Source organism: Homo sapiens, chromosome X (assembly GCF_000001405.40).
Source record: "Homo sapiens chromosome X, GRCh38.p14 Primary Assembly".
In the NCBI taxonomy this organism is placed as follows: Eukaryota; Metazoa; Chordata; class Mammalia; order Primates; family Hominidae; genus Homo; species Homo sapiens.
The window spans coordinates 57,293,315-57,311,134 of NC_000023.11; the positions used below are offsets into that span (position 1 = coordinate 57,293,315).

Below are 17,820 nucleotides of genomic sequence, written 5' to 3' on the forward strand. Positions count from 1 at the left end.
TGGTTAATATAAATAAAATGAAAACTAGCCAATATCATGAAATTATAGACATTTAAAATATTTTAATGAAATATAAGTACTGCATCAAATGGATTTGTATCATAATAGATACTTTATACATGTTTTCTCATTTGATCATCTCAACAGCATTTCAAAAAATGTATGTGACAACCATGATTCAAGAATATGGATATGTGATGCCAAGCTTACATAACAGAACTATGGGGTGGTTCTATGTTTCAGGAGGTCCTGACTTGTCTCTTTCTTCTGTGAACCAACTTTTACCTGAAATGTAATTTGGGGGTACTTTTGGGGCAGAGTGTATCTTTAAACATTTGAGAGAGATTCTATTATTTAAATTTTCTGTTGCCTTTTAAAAAGGAGTTTCGAAGAAGGGGGTCAGTTGTTGCAGAGCTTGTTTTTGTGTATGAGGACATAGATAAAGACCTGAGAGAAAATCAAAATTTTGACCTTGTTGAAAATAATGAGTTTGGGCTACTACTAGGAGACTGGAGAGGGTGCTTGTGGGTAAATGGGGGGAGCATGGCAGGGCAGTGACTGTCAGGGGATTGGAGATTTGAAGAGAGAGAAAACAGGACTGTTTCTAAGACAGAGACCTTAGGTAAAATAAAAAGATGCTCAGAAATAATTTTATGAAGTTCATGCATGCTATGTGTGACATCTGTGCTTTTTTCCTCCCTCCTGTAAAGGGCCCCCAAATGGGCTTACTGTCCTGATAACAGTGTTTTTATTTTACTAGAAATTTAAAACACTGGCATTAAGATGAAAAATATGTGTAAAGCACCTAGTATAGAACCTTCCATCAATCCCTCAGTGTTAGCTCTTTTATTGTTATGGTTGTTATTACAACATGAGCTCAATAAATGGAGCTGTCCTTATGATTACACACAGTTCTATTGCATTGTTATCCCTGTTTGCTTGGCACTAAAACTTACTCTCAAGGCAGTTCAATGATTAAAATCACACAGCTACAAAATAGTAGGAAGATATGTGAACTTTAATTATGCTGGCTTCTAGCTTTGTCTTTCTTTGGCTTCCAGCTTTGTGTTTGTGATTGACTGATGAGAAAATAGTCACTGCTTTTTTACCTCCTTCCCAAACCTGTTCTTCCATCCAGTCACACAAGCAAGATACCTAGGTGTACCCCTAGACTCTACCTTCTTCCTTCTTTTCCCAAATCTATCTTCTAACTCTAATTAATCAACAAGTTTTACTGGCTCTTCTTCTTTATTTATCATCATGTCAAACTTGTTTTCCTTCATATCCTATTCTAATCGTACGGAACTACTCTATTTCTCCTGATCCATTTATGCTCTCTATCATCTGCATAACTTTGCACATGTTATTACTTTTGCCTGGAACACTTTCCCTTTCCCCACCTCTCCTTTATTTGGCTTAGTTAATTTTTTAGGACTCAGTCCAGTTCTCAATTTTACATTATCTAATCATCTCAGTCTCTGTGAGATTTCTACTCTGAGCTCCCAGAGCACATTGTGCTCATGTCACTTTTGTATCATGAAGGGCCCAGAAACCACACTATTTTAACAAAGAATTTAATATAGGGAATTGGTAGAATAGATGTTTAAGGAATGAAAAAACAAAAAAAAAGTAACACTGAAGTAACACCAAGATGATAACTGCAGGAAACAGCAAACTGAGGGAACACCCTAGGTATGAGGGAACAAAGGGAAGAAATTGGGATTATCAGAATCTAGGAGCTCAAAGGAAATGCCTGCAGAGCTGGGACCAAGACATCTGTGAAGAGGGTGTTGCCTGGCTGCTGCTTCTACCTCAGAAACTTTGAAAGGGGACCTCATATTCAGAGCTGTGGTTCAGAATTCTGAGAAGCAGCTGCCAGCTGACTGGTGCCAGTATTTCTGAGGGTGTGTGATGAGACTAGTTCTAGAGTGTGGGAAGAAATAGGAAACTGGAATCAACTACTGTTGCCTGGATGAAAGGCTATTGTTGAAACAATGGTGTCAGGAACAGCAGGCAAACTGGAAGAAACAAACCCCTTCACCTCTTTTCTTTCCTCCTAGTCTTTCTCTGGCACCCATATTTGAAGGATCCAAGAGGGCACAAATTATCAAAGGAAAGTTTAGTTTTCTGAGTCCCATCAGAAAGTGGCATATAGAGGGGGTGGAGCCAAGATGGCCGAATAGGAACAACTCCAGTCTACAGTTCCCAGCGTAAGCGACGCAGAAGATGGGTGATTTCTGCATTTCCAACGGAGGTACTGGGTTCATCTCACTGGGGAGTGCTGGACAGTGGGTGCAGGACAGTGGGTGCAGTGCACCGTGCATGAGCAGCAGCAGGGCGAGGCATCACCTCACCCAGGAAGTGCAAGGGATCAGGGAATTCCCTTTCCTAGTCAAAGAAAGGGGTGACAGATGGCACCTGGAAAATCGGGTCACTCCCACCCTAATACTGTGCTTTTCCAACAAGCTTAACAAAGGACACACCAGGAGATTATATCCCGCACTTGGATCAGAGGGTCCTACGCCCACGGAGCCTCACTCATTGCTAGGACAGCAGTCTGAGATCAAACTGCAAGGCAGCAGCGAGGCTGGGGGAGGGGCGCCTTTGCTCAGGCTTGAGTAGGTAAACAAAGTGGCCAGGAAGCTCAAACTGGGTGGAGCCCACCACAGCTCAAGGAGGCCTGCCTGCCTCTGTGGGCTCCACCTCTGGGGGCAGGACACAGACAAACAAAAGACAGCAATAACCTCTGCAGACTTAAATGTCCCTGTCTGACAGATTTGAAGAGAGTAGTGGTTCTCCCAGCACGCAGCTTGAGATCTGAGAACAGGCAGACTGCCTCCTCAAGTGGGTCCCTGACCCCCGAGTACCCTAACTGGGAGGCACCCCTCAGTAGGGCCAGACTGACACCTCACATTGCCCAGTACTCCTCTGAGACAAAACATCCAGAGGAACGATCAGGCAGCAGCATTTGTGGTTCACCAATATCTGCTGTTCTGCAGCCACCACTGCTGATACCCAGGCAAACAGGGTCTGCAGTGGACCTCCAGTAAACTCCAACAGACCTGCAGCTGAGGGTCCTGACTGTTACAAGGAAAACTAACAAACAGAAAGGACATCCACACCAAAAATCCATCTGTACGTCACCATCATCAAAGACCAAAGATAGATAAAACCACAAAGTTGGGGAAAAAAACAGAGCGGAAAAACCAGAAACTCTAAAAATCAGAGCACCACTCCTCTTCCAAAGGAATGCAGCTACTAATCAGCAATGCAACAAAGCTGGATGGAGAATGACTTTCACGAGTTCAGAGAAGAAGGCTTCAGATGATCAAACTACTGCAAGCTAAAGGAGGAAGTTTGAACCCATGACAAAGAAGTTAAAAAAACTTGAAAAAAGATTAGATGAATGGCTAACTACAATAATCAAGGCAGAGAAGTCCTTAAAGGACCTGATGGAGCCGAAAACCACAGCACCAGAACTACATGATGAATGCACAAGCCTCAATAGCTGATTTGATCAAGTGGAAGAAAGGGTACCAGTGACGGAAGATCAAATGAATGAAATGAAGCGAGAAGAGAAGTTTAGAGAAAAAGGAATAAAAAGAAATGAACCAGCATCCAAGAAATATGGGACTATGTGAAAACACCAAATCTATGTCTGATTGGTGTACCTGAAAGTCACGGGGAGAATGGAACCAAGTTGGAAAACACTCTGCAGGATATTATTTAGGAGAAATTCCCCAATCTAGCAAGGCAGGCCAACATTCAGATCCAGGAAATACAGAGAACAGAACAAAAATAACCCTCAAGAAGAGCAACTCCAAGACAAATAATTGTCAGATTCACCAAAGTTGAAATGAAGGAAAAAATGTTAAGGGCAGCCAGAGAGAAAGGTTGAGTTACCCAAAAAGGGAAGCCCATCAGACTAACAGCTGATCTCTCGGCAGAAACTCTACAAGCCAGAAGAGAGTGGGGGCCAATATTCAACATTCTTAAAGAAAATAACTTTCAACCCAGCATTTCATATACAGCCAAACTAAGCTTCATAAGTGCAGGAGAAATAGAATCCTTTACAGACAAGCAAATGCTGAGAGATTTTGTTACCACCAGGCCTGCCCTGAAAGAGCTCCTGAAGGAAGCACTAAACATGGAAAGGAACAACCGATACCAGCCACTGCAAAAACCTGCCAAATTGTAAAGACCATCAAGGCTAGGGAGAAACTGCATCAACTAATGAGCAAAATAACCAGCTAAGATCATAATGACAGAATCAAATTCACACATAAAAATATTAACCTTAAATGTAAATGGACTAAATGCTCCAATTAAAAGACACAGATTGGCAAATTGGAAAAGGAGACAAGACCCATCAGTGTGCTGTATTCAGCAAACCCATCTCACATGCAGAGACACACATAGGCTCAAAATAAAGGGATGGAGGAAGATCTACCAAGCAAATGGAAAACAAAAAAAGGCAGGGGTTGCAATCCTAGTCTCCGATACAACAGACTTTAAACCAACAAAGATCAAAAGAGACAAAGAAGGCCGTTACATAATAGTAAAGGGATCAATTCAACAAGAAGAGCTAACTATCCTAAATATATATGCACCCAATACAGGAGCACCCAGATTCATAAAGCAAGTCCTTAGTGACCTACAAAGAGACTTAGACTCCCACACAATAATAATGGGAGACTTTAACACCCCACTGTCAACATTAGACGGATCAACGAGACAGAAAGTTAACAAGGATATCCAGGAAGTGAACTCAGCTCTGCACCAAGCGGACCTAATAGACACCTACAGAACTCTCCACCCCAAATCAACAGAATATACATTCTTCTCAGCACCACATTGCACTTATTCCAAAATTCACCACATAGTTGGAAGCAAAGCACTCCTCAGCAAATGGAAAAGAACAGAAATTATAATAAACTGTCTCTCAGACCACAGTGCAATCAAACTAGAACTCAGGATTAAGAAACTCACTCAAAACCCCTCAACTACATGGAAACTGAACAACCCGCTCCTGAATGACTACTGGGTACATAACGAAATGAAGGCAGAAATAAAGATGTTCTTTGAAACCAATGAGAACAAAGACACAACATACCAGGATCTCTGGGACACATTCAAAGCAGTGTGTAGAGGGAAATTTATAGCACTAAATGCCCACAAGAGAAAGCAGGAAAGATCTAAAATTGACACCCTAACATCACAATTAAAAGAACTACAGAAGCAAGAGCAAACACATTTAAAAGCTAGCAGAAGGCAAGAAATAACTAAGATCAGAACAGAACTGAAGGAAATAGAGACACAAAAAACCCTTCAAAAAAATCAATGAATCCAGGAGCTGGTTTTTTGAAAAGATCAACAAAATTGATAGACCACTAGCCAGACTAATAAAGAAGAAAAAAGAGAATAATCAATTAGACGCAATAAAAAATGACAAAGGGCATGTCACCACTGATCCCACAGAAATACAAACTACCATCAGACTACTATAAACACCTGTATGCAAATAAACTAGAAAATCTAGAAGAAACGGATAAATTCCTCGACACCTACACTGTCCCAAGACTAAACCAGGAAGAAGTTCAATCTCTGAATAGACCAATAATGGGCTCTGAAATTGAGGCAATAATTAATAGCCTACCAACCAAAAAAAGTCCAGGACCAGATGGATTCACAGCAGAATTCTACCAGAGGTACAAGGAGGAGCTGGTACCATTCCTTCTGAAACTATTCCAATCAATAGAAAAATAGGGAATCCTCCCTAACTCATTTTATGAGGCCAGCATCATCCTGCTACCAAAGCCTGACAGAGACACAACAAAAAAAAGAGAATTTTAGACCAATATCCTTGATGAACATTGATGCAAAAATCCTCAATAAAATGCTGGCAAACCGAATCCAGCAACACATGAAAAAACTTATCCACCATGATCAAGTGGGGTTCATCCCTGGGATGCAAGGCTGGTTCAACATCGGAAAACGAATAAAGTTAATTCAGCATATAAACAGAACCAAAGACAAAAACCACATGATTATCTCAATAGATGCAGAAAAGGCCTTTGACAAAATTCAACAACACTTCATGCTAAAAACTCTCAATAAATTAGGTATTGATGGGATGTATCTCAAAATAATAAGAGCTATCTATGACAAACCCACAGCCAATATCATACTGAATGGACAAAAACTGGAAGCATTCCCTTTGAAAACTGGCACAAGACAGGGATGCCCTCTCTCACCACTCCTATTCAACATAGTGTTGGAAGTTCTGTCCAGGGACATCAGACAAGAGAAGGAAATAAAGGACATTCAATTAGGAAAAGAGGAAGTCAAATTGTCCCTGTTTGCAGATGACATGATTGTATATCTAGAAAACCCCATCATCTCAGCCCAAAATCTCCTTAAGCTAATATGCAACTTCAGCAAAGTCTCAGGATACAAAATCAATGTACAAAAATCACAAGCATTCTTATACACCAATAACAGACAAACAGAGAGCCAAATCATAAGTGAACTCCCATTCACAATTGCTTCAAAGAGAATAAAATACCTAGGAGTCCAACTTACAAGGGATGTGAAGGACCTCTTCAAGGAGAACTACAAACCACTGCTCAATGAAATAAAAGAGGATACAAACAAATGGAAGAAAATTCCATGCTCATGGGTAGGAAGAATCAATATCATGAAAATGGCCATACTGCCCAAGGTAATTTATAGATTCAATGCCATCCCCATTAAGCTACAAATGACTTTCTTCACAGAATTGGAAAAAACTACTTTAAAGTTCATATAGAACCAAAAAAGAGCCCGCATTGCCAAGTCAATCCTAAGCCAAAAGAACAAAGCTGGAGGCATCACGCTACCTGACTTCAAACTATACTACAAGGCTACAGTAATCAAAACAGTATGGTACTGGTACCAAAACAGACATATAGACCAATGGAACAAAACAGAGCCCTCAGAAACAATGCCGCATATCTACAACTATCTGATCTTTGACAAACCTGACAAAAACAAGCAATGCGGAAAGGATTCCCTATTTAATAAATGGTTCTGTGAAAACCGGCTAGCTATATATGTAGAAAGCTGAAATTGGATCCTTTCCTTACACCTTATACAAAAATTAATTCAAGATGGATTAAAGACTTACATGTCAGACCTAAAACCATAAAAACCCTAGAAGAAAACCTGGGCAATACCATTCAGGACATAGGCATGGACAAGGACTTCATGTCTAAAACACCAAAAGCAATAGCAACAAAAGCCAAAATTGACAAATGGGATCTAATTAAGCTAAAGAGCTCCTGCACAGCAAAAGAAACCACCATCAGAGTGAACAGGCAACCTACAAAATGGGAGAAAATTTTTTGCAACCTACTCATCTGACAAAGGGCTAATATCCAGAATCTACAGTGAACTCATACAAATTTACAAGAAAAAAACAAACAACCCCATCAAAAAGTGGGCAAAGGATGTGAACAGACACTTCTCAAAAGAAGACATTTATGCAGCCAAAAAACACATGAAAAAATGCTCATCATCACTGGCCATCAGAGAAATGCAAATCAAAACCACAATGAGATAACCATCTCACACCAGTTAGAATGGTGATCATTAAGAAGTCAGGAAACAACAGGTGCTGGAGAGGATGTGGAGAAATAGGAACACTTTTACAATGTTGGTGGGACTGTAAACTAGTTCAACCCTTGTGGAAGTCAGTGTGGTGATTCCTCAGGGATCTAGAACTAGAAATACCATTTGATCCAGCCATCCCATTACTGGGTATATACCCAAAGGATTATAAATCATGCTGCTATAAAGACACATGCACACGTATGTTTATTGCAGCACTATTCACAATAGCAAAGACTTGGAACCAACCGAAATGTCCAAAAATGATAGACTGGATTGAGAAAAGTTGGCACATACACACAATGGAATACTATGCAGCCATAAAAAAGGATGACTTCATTTCCTTTGTAGGGACATGGATGAAGCTGGAAACCATCATTCTCAGCAAACTATCACAAGGACAAAAAACCAAACACCACATGTTCTCACTCATAGGTGGGAATTGAACAATGAGAACACATGGACACAGGAAGGGGAACATCAGACACCGGGGACTGTTGTGGGGTGGGGGGAGGGGGGATGGATAGCATTAGGAGATATACCTAATGCTAAATGACGAGTTAATGGGTGCAGCACACCAACATGGCGCATGTATACATATGTAACAAACCTGCACGTTGTGCACATGTACCCTAAAACTTAAAGTATAATAATAATAATAATAATAATAATAATAATAATAAAAGAAATATCTTCACATAAAATCTAATAAAAAAATGTGGCATATAGAATACTTGTTTCAGGGCTGAGAGATAATAATATAAAAACTGGTTCAACATTGCATAGTCATTTTGGTGTTGGTTGTCTCACCCACCAGACTCTGAGTTCCTCAGTGGCATGGACCATATCTTTTTAATCTTATTGTCTTCAGTGTGTAGAACATGATCTGAGATTTAGCATTTCTTCAGTAAGTAACGAATTAATATACATGTGTTTAGACAATGTTTGTTTTGGAGCTCCTGAATGCAGTTTCGTCTTATGCTCTGCAATCTGTTGGCTTCCTATATCTTCCTGGATTATGATTTATTGTTCACTGTTTTTCTTGCTTGCCTGGAAAAGTACAAATTTGTTACTAGTTTTAGACTTTGCTCCCTGAAGCATCTATTGTCATGCATTTCATCCAATAGGTATATTCTTCCCAATCTGTGAATGACATAGAAAATGGTCACGGCAAACTTTCTGGGAGCCCTAGAGTCCAGAGATGTCAAGACTCAAAATACACACTTACAGAATCACACAGACCTGGGACAAAATTCTTCCTCTGTTAGTTATTTCATGAACTTAGGCATGTTTTTGAATCTCTGTGAATCTTTGTTTTATCCTTTCTAAAGGGGAAAATAATATGGACCCTCAAAATTTATAGTTTTATGGATTTAAATGCTTGAAAACACTTTCATTCATTTATCCCACAAATGGTTATTGAATGCTTACTATACACCTGGTAGCATGCTAGGTGTTGAAGATATAAAGATAAACACAACAGTCCCTGACTTCTTTCAGCTCCCAGTCTGGTGGTTGAAGCATGAGAATAACCATTATTTACAGCACAGTGGAATTAGTGCTCTGATAGGGGAAGAAAAGAGTACTGTGGTATCATAGAGAAGGTTACTGATCCAAGACTGGAGAGGTGTCAGAAAAGGCTTTCTGGAGAAAGTGATATAATGTGTTGCTTTCCACCAAAAAGCTATCCAAGGGGTAGAATCCTCCTTGGATTTCGCTCCCCTACCACTGGCTGTACTTGAATCACTGAGCAAGTGCAGGATTTCAAGATATATAGATTTTTTTAAAAACCCTCTCAGACCTCAATAAATCTTTCACTCAACCCACATTGGCCAGCCTATGTATCATCTGGTGTCACAGCCACCCTTAGGCCTCATCCTGTTTGTCTCCATAGAAGCAAGGGTAAGGATTTTTGGCTGAGGTTCCTTGTTTCAGCTTGGCTGAAACTATGAGGATTTCCTTGGTCTCAGGAGTCTAGTGCTGCCCTGTGCCACTGAGGCCACATGTAAGGGTATCCAATTTCCTTTATGCCTTTATCAACCTTCCCTTGGAAGTTCTCTGCTTGTGCTGATTGTATGTGGCTGAAGTTTGGGCAATGCTAATGAAGGGGATTTCAAGACCTTAGGAAAGTGTACATACTTAAGGCACTACCTTTTCTCCATCCTTGGAAAGAACAGGACTGGGAAGCCTGATTGCCCTGCCCCACCTGGTTGGGAAACTCCTGGGAGACAAGTGTTTCAGGAACCCTGTCTTGCATGAACAAATATTGTGCCAGTAAATGTTGCTGATAACATCAGTATTGGTAGGACTTGTTGAAGAAATAGCTGCTGCAGTTCTTCTCATTGTTTTTCTGATATAGAGACTTGTAACCCACTTCCTAAATTTCATTTTGCCACTTCCCTAAGCTCTATGGTTTGGGTGACATGGCTTTGGCTTAATCTTCTGTGATTCTAATCCTTTGATTTTCCTGACAAGAATTTTGTTGACTGTCAGGAGAACCTGATGAATTAGAAATGATGATAGTGATAGCCACCATTTACTGAGTGGCTCTTCTGTGCTAGGTACTGTGTTTATGCATTATGACATTTAAATAACAAAGCATGTAGATTTTATTGTTACCACCATTTTATAGCTGGAGAAACAGTTTAGGAAGTTGTCACTTGCAAGGTTATATAACCACCTCAGATCAGTCTTTCTCCAAAGCCTGGGATTTGACCACTCTGCTACACTGCTTTTTGGATAGCCAGGTTCTTTGTGTTTGTAAGAGGCCAGATTGCAACATTCTCAGATTAATATTTTGCCGTGCCTAATTCGCTACCAAAATTGTCTCACTTTTTTTAACATAAGTAAGCTTCTAAAAAATGTAGTCAATACTTATTTTTCTGAATCCTTACCTCTAATTTACACCTATACTCACTGAAATCTAGCTTCTGTTCCTATGACTCAATTAAAAATAACCTGCTGGCTGGGCGCGGTGGCTCACACCTGTAATCCCAGCACTTTGAGAGGCTGAGGCGGGCAGATTACCTGAGGTCAGGAGTTCGAGACCAGCCTGGCCAAAATGGTGAAACCCCATCTCTACTAAAAATACAAAAATTACCTGGGTGTGGTGGCACATGCCTGTAATCCCAGCTACTCAGGGGGCCGAGGCAGGAGAATTGCTTGAGCCCAGGAGGTGGAGGTTGCAGTGAGCTGAGATCTTGCCACTGCACTCCAGCCTGGCCGACAGAGAGAGACTGTCTCAAAAACAAAACAAAACAAAAAACAAAACAAACAAACAAAATAGCCTGCTAACTCTATCAGTTTGGGCTGTTTCCACTGCAAAGAACAGAAAATCCAATTCAAAATGACTGAAAGCAATACGGAAAATATACTATCCCACAAACCAGTAAGTCTTTTGGTATGTTAGCTCTAGAATTGATTGACTCAGCAGCTGAAAAATGTCATCATTAACCTGTTTTCAGTCTTTTGCCTTGGACATCCTAGTTTGTCAGCCTTATTAGACTAGATCTTCTCATTGTCATAAGATGGCTGCTATGCCTTATGTCTCAAGAGACAAAATTGTGACCAGATACCACTGGTAAACCAATTTTTGGCAAGGTGAATAACATTACTGTGATTGCACTAAACAAATAAGAAATCACACACTTAAGGTTAGAGATTGGGCCTATTCCCTGTAAGGCATATGGCAGTACAATAAAGAGAGTTGCCTGAAAAATTGAAGTTATATTTATAAAGGGAAAAAGTGGATTTTGGATAGGCAGCGAACAATGTCTGCAACTCTTGACAATATGACTTTGAGTGAGTCCTTAACCTCTCTTTATCTCAGTTTCCTCATAATCATAATGAAGCAGTTGTTATGTACCTAATGGGATTATTGTGAGGATGGAACAACTTAATGAATTTAAAACACAATAATTGGCACATAAAATAGACTCAGTATATTGTACATGTTGGTCTTATTATCAAAATGATAATTGTCCTGTTCTTGAAGTCATTGCTACCTTTGGCTTCTAGACAGTGCTCTTCTATTATTTTATTATTTAACTCTTACACATCTAAATACATTTTATTCTTCCTTAAGGTGTGATTCTGTAATTTTGTGTGTGTGTGTGTGTGTGTATGTGTATAATGGTTCATGTAGTTATAAATATACTTAGCCTTGGTCTTCTATGACTTCAAATATCATTTGAACACTGATAACTCCTGGAACTTTGTCTGCAGCCCAGACCTTTCCTCTGAGCTCAATTCCCATATATGTATATCTACCTACTTGACACCTCTACCAGGAAGTCACATGGGCACCAAAAGTCAAAATAATTAAAATCAAACTCATGAAATGAAAATTTCAGTGAATGACATTGCCAACTACTATAAGCCAGAAAAACTGGAAAAAAAAATTCCTTCATCCCCCACATTCTAACCTTCTAATATTTTATAAGAGTTCTACCTTCTAAATATCTCTCTCAAGATCTCATCTCTAAATAACTCTACTTTTCTCTACCTCAACTGCTGTCACTTTAGTCCCAATCACCATCATCTTTGCCTACTGCAGTAATCTTTATGTTTCTAGTTTTGCTCTCCCTTCCCCATACTTTTTATTTTGCAAAAGCCAAAGGATATCTGTAAATCACTAAAGAGATTATGCCCCTTTCCTGCTTTAAACATTTCAATACCCAGACTCCCTAGAACGCCATGTAAGGGCCCTTTGTAATCTGGCATACCTTAGTTTTTCAGCTTTATCTTGTGCCATTCTCCCACATATAACTTCCTTTTTACTCCACTTGGGTATTTTTGCCATTCATCTGAAGGGTCCCTTCTAGTTCAGTCCAGCTTTTTGAGTTATTTTCACCTCCTAATCACAGACTTTCTCCTTCAGCTACTACCCCATCTGATATCTATCTTTCTGAGTACTCTTTTCCTCAGACTGGTTGCAGACTGGGACACTGTGCCTCAAGGTTTTCTTTCCTAACGTTTCCTAAACACAAGGCTACAGGCCGTTTTGCCTTGGATGAGGCTCACATCCAGAGAAGCTTTCAGTAACTAGCAGTCTTAGGCATGTGGATGCTTTACTGAGGTTCCAAGTTTGTGCCTATTGGAAATATTGGTCTTAGGTTCCCAATCCTTCTGAATTGGCAACTGAAAGCTTTCTTATTTCCAGAAAGTGGGTAACTTCAACTTCACACCCTTCTGCTTCTTTTTGTGCAACCAAAGTGTGAGGGATGGGATATAAGCAAAGCAAAAAGTGTCCTTTTCCCCAAGTAGACAGTATGTATCTGCAAGGCCCCCAGAATGTGTAACACTTAGAGTGCTGGCCTTTACTCTACAAATGGTAATGATGCTACTTTGTAACTAGCTATAGACACACAGAAATGTCTATAGTTTCTAAATGGCTGTGCTGACAATTATTCTTTTCATTGCAATAGAATTGTACTTTTACTGGCTTATGGGTGTGAAAAGGTAGTGGTGTGGCCAATAATCATAAAGATCCTCACAATTTGACAAATTATGAGACATTTGAACAACTAGACCCTGGGAAGTTCAGGGACTGATGTAGCTCTGGACTCTCAAACGTAGGAGATTTGTGGGCCTTCATTTAAGAGCCCTGCCATTAATGTGTTCTAACCAACCCCAGTCCTTCTTTCTTTTAGTTGAACCTCTAGGGAAAGAGATAATTTTATTTGTTTCACTTGGCTCAAGTGTTCAGTACAACGAGACTAGCAACATCTTGTGTGTGTGTGTGTGTGTGTGTGTGTGTGTGTGTGTGTGTATATATATACACACACACTATATGTATACACTATATATATACCATATATATGTATACTATATATACACTTTATATACACCATATATACACTATATATATACTATATATGTACTATATATGTGTATATATATACACACTATATATACACTATATATACACCATATATACATATATAGTACTATATAGTATATATAGTGTGTATATATACTATATAGTACTATATATGTATATATACACACACGTATACACACACACACACACAGATACATATATATATATATATATAGCCTTTGTCCTCTGAGTACCGCTGGCCCACCAATAGGGTTATATGCATGACAACAGGGTTTTTACCCCTATCGTTGGGCCAGTAGTACTCAGAGAACAAAGGCTAGACAAATAACCAAATAAGTTTTCATTAGAATGAGCCATGTTTTCTCATCCCTTCATCTTTCTATTCTCTCTGTTTGGGGTTCTTCTTCTCTATAATAAGAAGCATTAGTAGTATCAGTGATAGTTAGCACTTGTGTGCTTACAATGTTCCCGGTACTGTTGTAGTGCTTTACAAATGCAGTAGCTAATTGCATAATATCAACAATTCTATGAGGTAATTATTTTTAGCTCCATTATACAGATGAGGAAACTGAAATACAGAAAGGTTAAGTTAAGTTTTCGAAGGAGATACAGTAAATAGTGGAGCTGAGATACAAAACTATGCATTCTCTCTCTAGATTAATATTGTTCAATAGAAATAAATTATGAGGGAAATGTGCAATTTCACATATTCTAGCAGCTGTATTTTAAAAAGTGAAAAGAAACAGGTGGAATTAATTTTCATAGTACATATTATTTAACTAAATATGTCAAAATACTTTCAACATATTGCATTAGCCACATTTTAAAAATATAATATCAACTTTTATCTTAAATTCAAGGGGCACATGTGCAGGTTTGTTATATGAATATATTGTGTGATACTGAGGTTTGGGATGCAAATGATCCCATCACCCAGATAGTGAGTATAGTATCCAACAGTTTTTCAAAACTTTCCCTCGCTCACACACTTCCGCATCTGTTAGTCCCCAGTGTCTATTGTTGCTATCTTTATGGCCGTGAGCATCCAGTATTTAGCTCCCACTGAGAAATGAGAACAATGTGATATTTGGTTTTTGTGCCTGTGTTAATTAGGTTAATTAGGTTAATAATGACCTCTGGGTGCATCCATGTTGCTGCAAAGGACATGATTTCATTCTTTCTGTGGCTGTGTAGTATTCCATGATGCATATACACCAAATTTTCTTTATCCAATCCACCATTGATGGGCATCTAGATTGATTCCATGTCTTTGCGATTGTGATAGCATAGTGATGAACATACAAATGCAAGTGTCTTTTTGGTAAAACTATTTATTTTCTTTTGGGTATATACCCAGTAATGTGATTGCTGGGTCAAATGGTAGTTTTGTTTTAAGTTATTTGAGAAATCTCCAAACTGCTTTCCACTATGGCTGAACTAATTTACATTCCCATCAACATTCCCTTTTCTCTGCAGCTTCACCGGTATCTGTTGTTTTTTTACTTTTAATAATAGCCATTCTGACTGGTGTGAGAGGATATCTAATTGTGGTTTTTATTTGCATTTCTCTGATGATTAGTGATGATGAGCATTTTTTCATATATTTCTTGGCTGCTTGTCTATCTTCTTTGGAGAAGTGTCCATTCACATCTTTTGCCCACTTTTAAGTGGGGTTATTTATTTTTTGCTTGTTTAATTGTTGAAGTTCCTTATAGATTCTGGATATTAGATCTCTGTTGGATGCATAGTTTGTAAATATTTTCTCCTATTCTGTAGGTTGTTTATTACATCACATGAGTGTCAGGATTAACTGACTGTACAATATTTAAAGTACTGCCCAATACCTGAAATATATCATTAATTGTTAAATATCATTATATCATTATCCTGGCATACTCTGTAACTCCTGTCTCCTCCATTTCTAGCATATTGTCATATACACATGGCAGTAAAAAATCCTCCTTTTTAGAAACTTCCAACAGTTCTTTATATCCATTTTCCCAATGCATTCTCACTACCACCATGTTAGATAGATATTATTGTCCCCAATTTACAATTGAAGCAACTAAAATCCAGTGAAATGAAAGAGCTTGCATAGTTCACAAAACTAGGAAATGAGAGTTCCCTAATTTTTATTCATCTTAAAAGCATAGACATTATCATATTCATTTTTTAATACTTTGAATATTTGTTGAAGTAATCAATAAATGTCATTGGTATTTCCAGTGAGCCCAAAGATATTTTATTAAAGTTATTTTAAGTCACATGAAAGGTTATGTAAAGGATTTTAAATTTCATTTTCAAGAATTAATATTTGTGATACTGAGAAATCACACTGGAATTGCATACTTTAGTGATTGTATTACCACATACATTTAAACTGTGTTCTTTTGGGCATATTGACTTATTGTTTCATTCTGGAAATTGCTGTAATTATGTCCATTATAGAACATTTGCAAAAAACAACAAAAAATTACCTATAATCATAGCACCAAAAGAGTAGTTATTCACTGTTAATGTTTTGCTTACGATTTTCACATGATTGAGGTTATACTAGGAATATACTGCTATAACCTTCTCTTTTCACTTACATTAAATGACATTACATCATAGGAATTTCCGAAGTGCAGTAAAACTTTTAGGAAACACCACTTTTTATTTTATTTTATTTTAAGTACTGGGGTACATATGCAGGATGTGCAGGTTTGTTACAAGGTAAACGTGTACCATGATGGTTTTCTGCACCTATCAATCCATCACCTAAGTGTTGAGTCCAGCATGCATTAGCTATTTTATCTGATGCTCTTTCCACCCCTGAGAGGCCCCAGTGTGTGTTGTTTCCCTCCCTGTGTCCATGAGTCCTCATTTTTCAGCTCCCACTTATGAGTGGGAACATATAATGTTTGGTTTTCTATTCCTGCATTAGTTTGCTGAGGATAATGGCTTCCAGCTCCATCCATGTCCCTGAAAAGAATATGATCTCATTTCTTTTTGATGTACCACATTTTCTTTATCCAGTCTACCATTGATGAGAATTTGGGTGGATTCCATGTGTTTACTATTGTAAATAGTGGCGCAATGAACATATGTGTGCATGTATCTTTATAATAAAATGATTTATATTCTTTTGGGTATATATCCAATAATGGGATTGCTGGATCAAATGGAATTTCTGGTTCTAGGTCTTTGAAGAATTGTCACACCGTTTTTCACAATGGTTGAACTAATTTACATTCTCACCAACAGCGTAAAAGCATTCCTTTACCTCTGTAGCCTCGGCAGCATCTGTTGTTTCTTGATTTTTAACAATTGCCATTCTGACTGGTGAGAGATGGTATCTCATTTAGGTTTTTATTTGCATTTCTCTAATGATCAGTGATGTTGAGCTTTTTTTCATGTTTGTTGGCTGCATAAATGACTTCTTTTGAGAAGTGTCTGTTTATGGCCTTTACGCAACACCACGTTTATTGGCCATACAGTTGTCTCTTGTAGATATCTATAATTATTTATTTGGTGACAAGGAGATTTTATTTGTTTTTCTAATATAAATAATGATGCACTGACCAGCTTTCTGTATGGATAATTCTTACTAGGTTGGATTACTGTTCTTATGATGGATTCCTAAAAGGAGAATCACTGGCTCAAATGGTCAGCTTTATAAGGCTCTTGACAAGTACATTAACTTTAATATGTTGATTACATATTAACATGTTGATATGGGTATTCTTTTAATAAAGTTGGTTGGATGACTTGTTTAGTTAAAGTTTGCATTGTTTTATTTCTTCTTAGGTTTGAGGAAGCGATGAAGGAGGCTCATGCTGTAGATCAAAAGCTTGCAGAGAAGCAGGAAGATGAAGCCACCCTGGAAAATAAATGGCCCTTCCTTGGGGTTCCTTTGACAGTCAAGGAAGCTTTCCAGCTACAAGGTACTATTCTTTTATTTTTGGCTACATGAGTTTAATTCACAAGTTGCTACATTTTCTAAACTTATAAACTAAAAAGGATGGTATAAAAGTGAAGGACAAACTCATGCTGCTTCCTCAGTTTGAAATGAGAGGAAATATTCAGCAAGTTCCATTGGGAAAATAAATGATAATGGTCATCCTCTGTTAGCTCTGTATGGCATATGGGGGCACTATGCTCAGTATCCATTAATCCTTACAGCAAACTTATAAGAATAGTATTATTGATCTCATTTTTCAGATAAGAAAATTGAGGCTCATGACCCTAAAGTAGTTAGGCTAAAGCCAAGCTTGAATTCTGATAAATACCTGTGCTTTCTCTGTAATACAGTTCTTATTTTGTAACTTCCTGCTAGCCTCAAAAGTAAA

The 17,820-nt window shown here is 38.4% G+C and overlaps 1 protein-coding gene across 18 annotated transcripts in view; it reads left to right on the forward strand.

Moving 5' to 3' along the window:
* The window catches only part of FAAH2 (fatty acid amide hydrolase 2), a 367,606-nt gene that overhangs the window by 171,724 nt on the left and 178,062 nt on the right, over positions 1-17,820 (forward strand). For all 18 annotated transcript variants that reach the window (NR_148564.2, NR_148557.2, XM_011530767.4 and 15 more), the window contains one exon: positions 17,279-17,415. Coding sequence is in view for 16 of the 18 variants with exons in the window: in XM_011530767.4 (XP_011529069.1) it covers positions 17,279-17,415 (137 nt within the window). In the remaining 2 variants the exon portion in view is untranslated. The remainder of the gene's footprint in view (positions 1-17,278; positions 17,416-17,820) is intronic.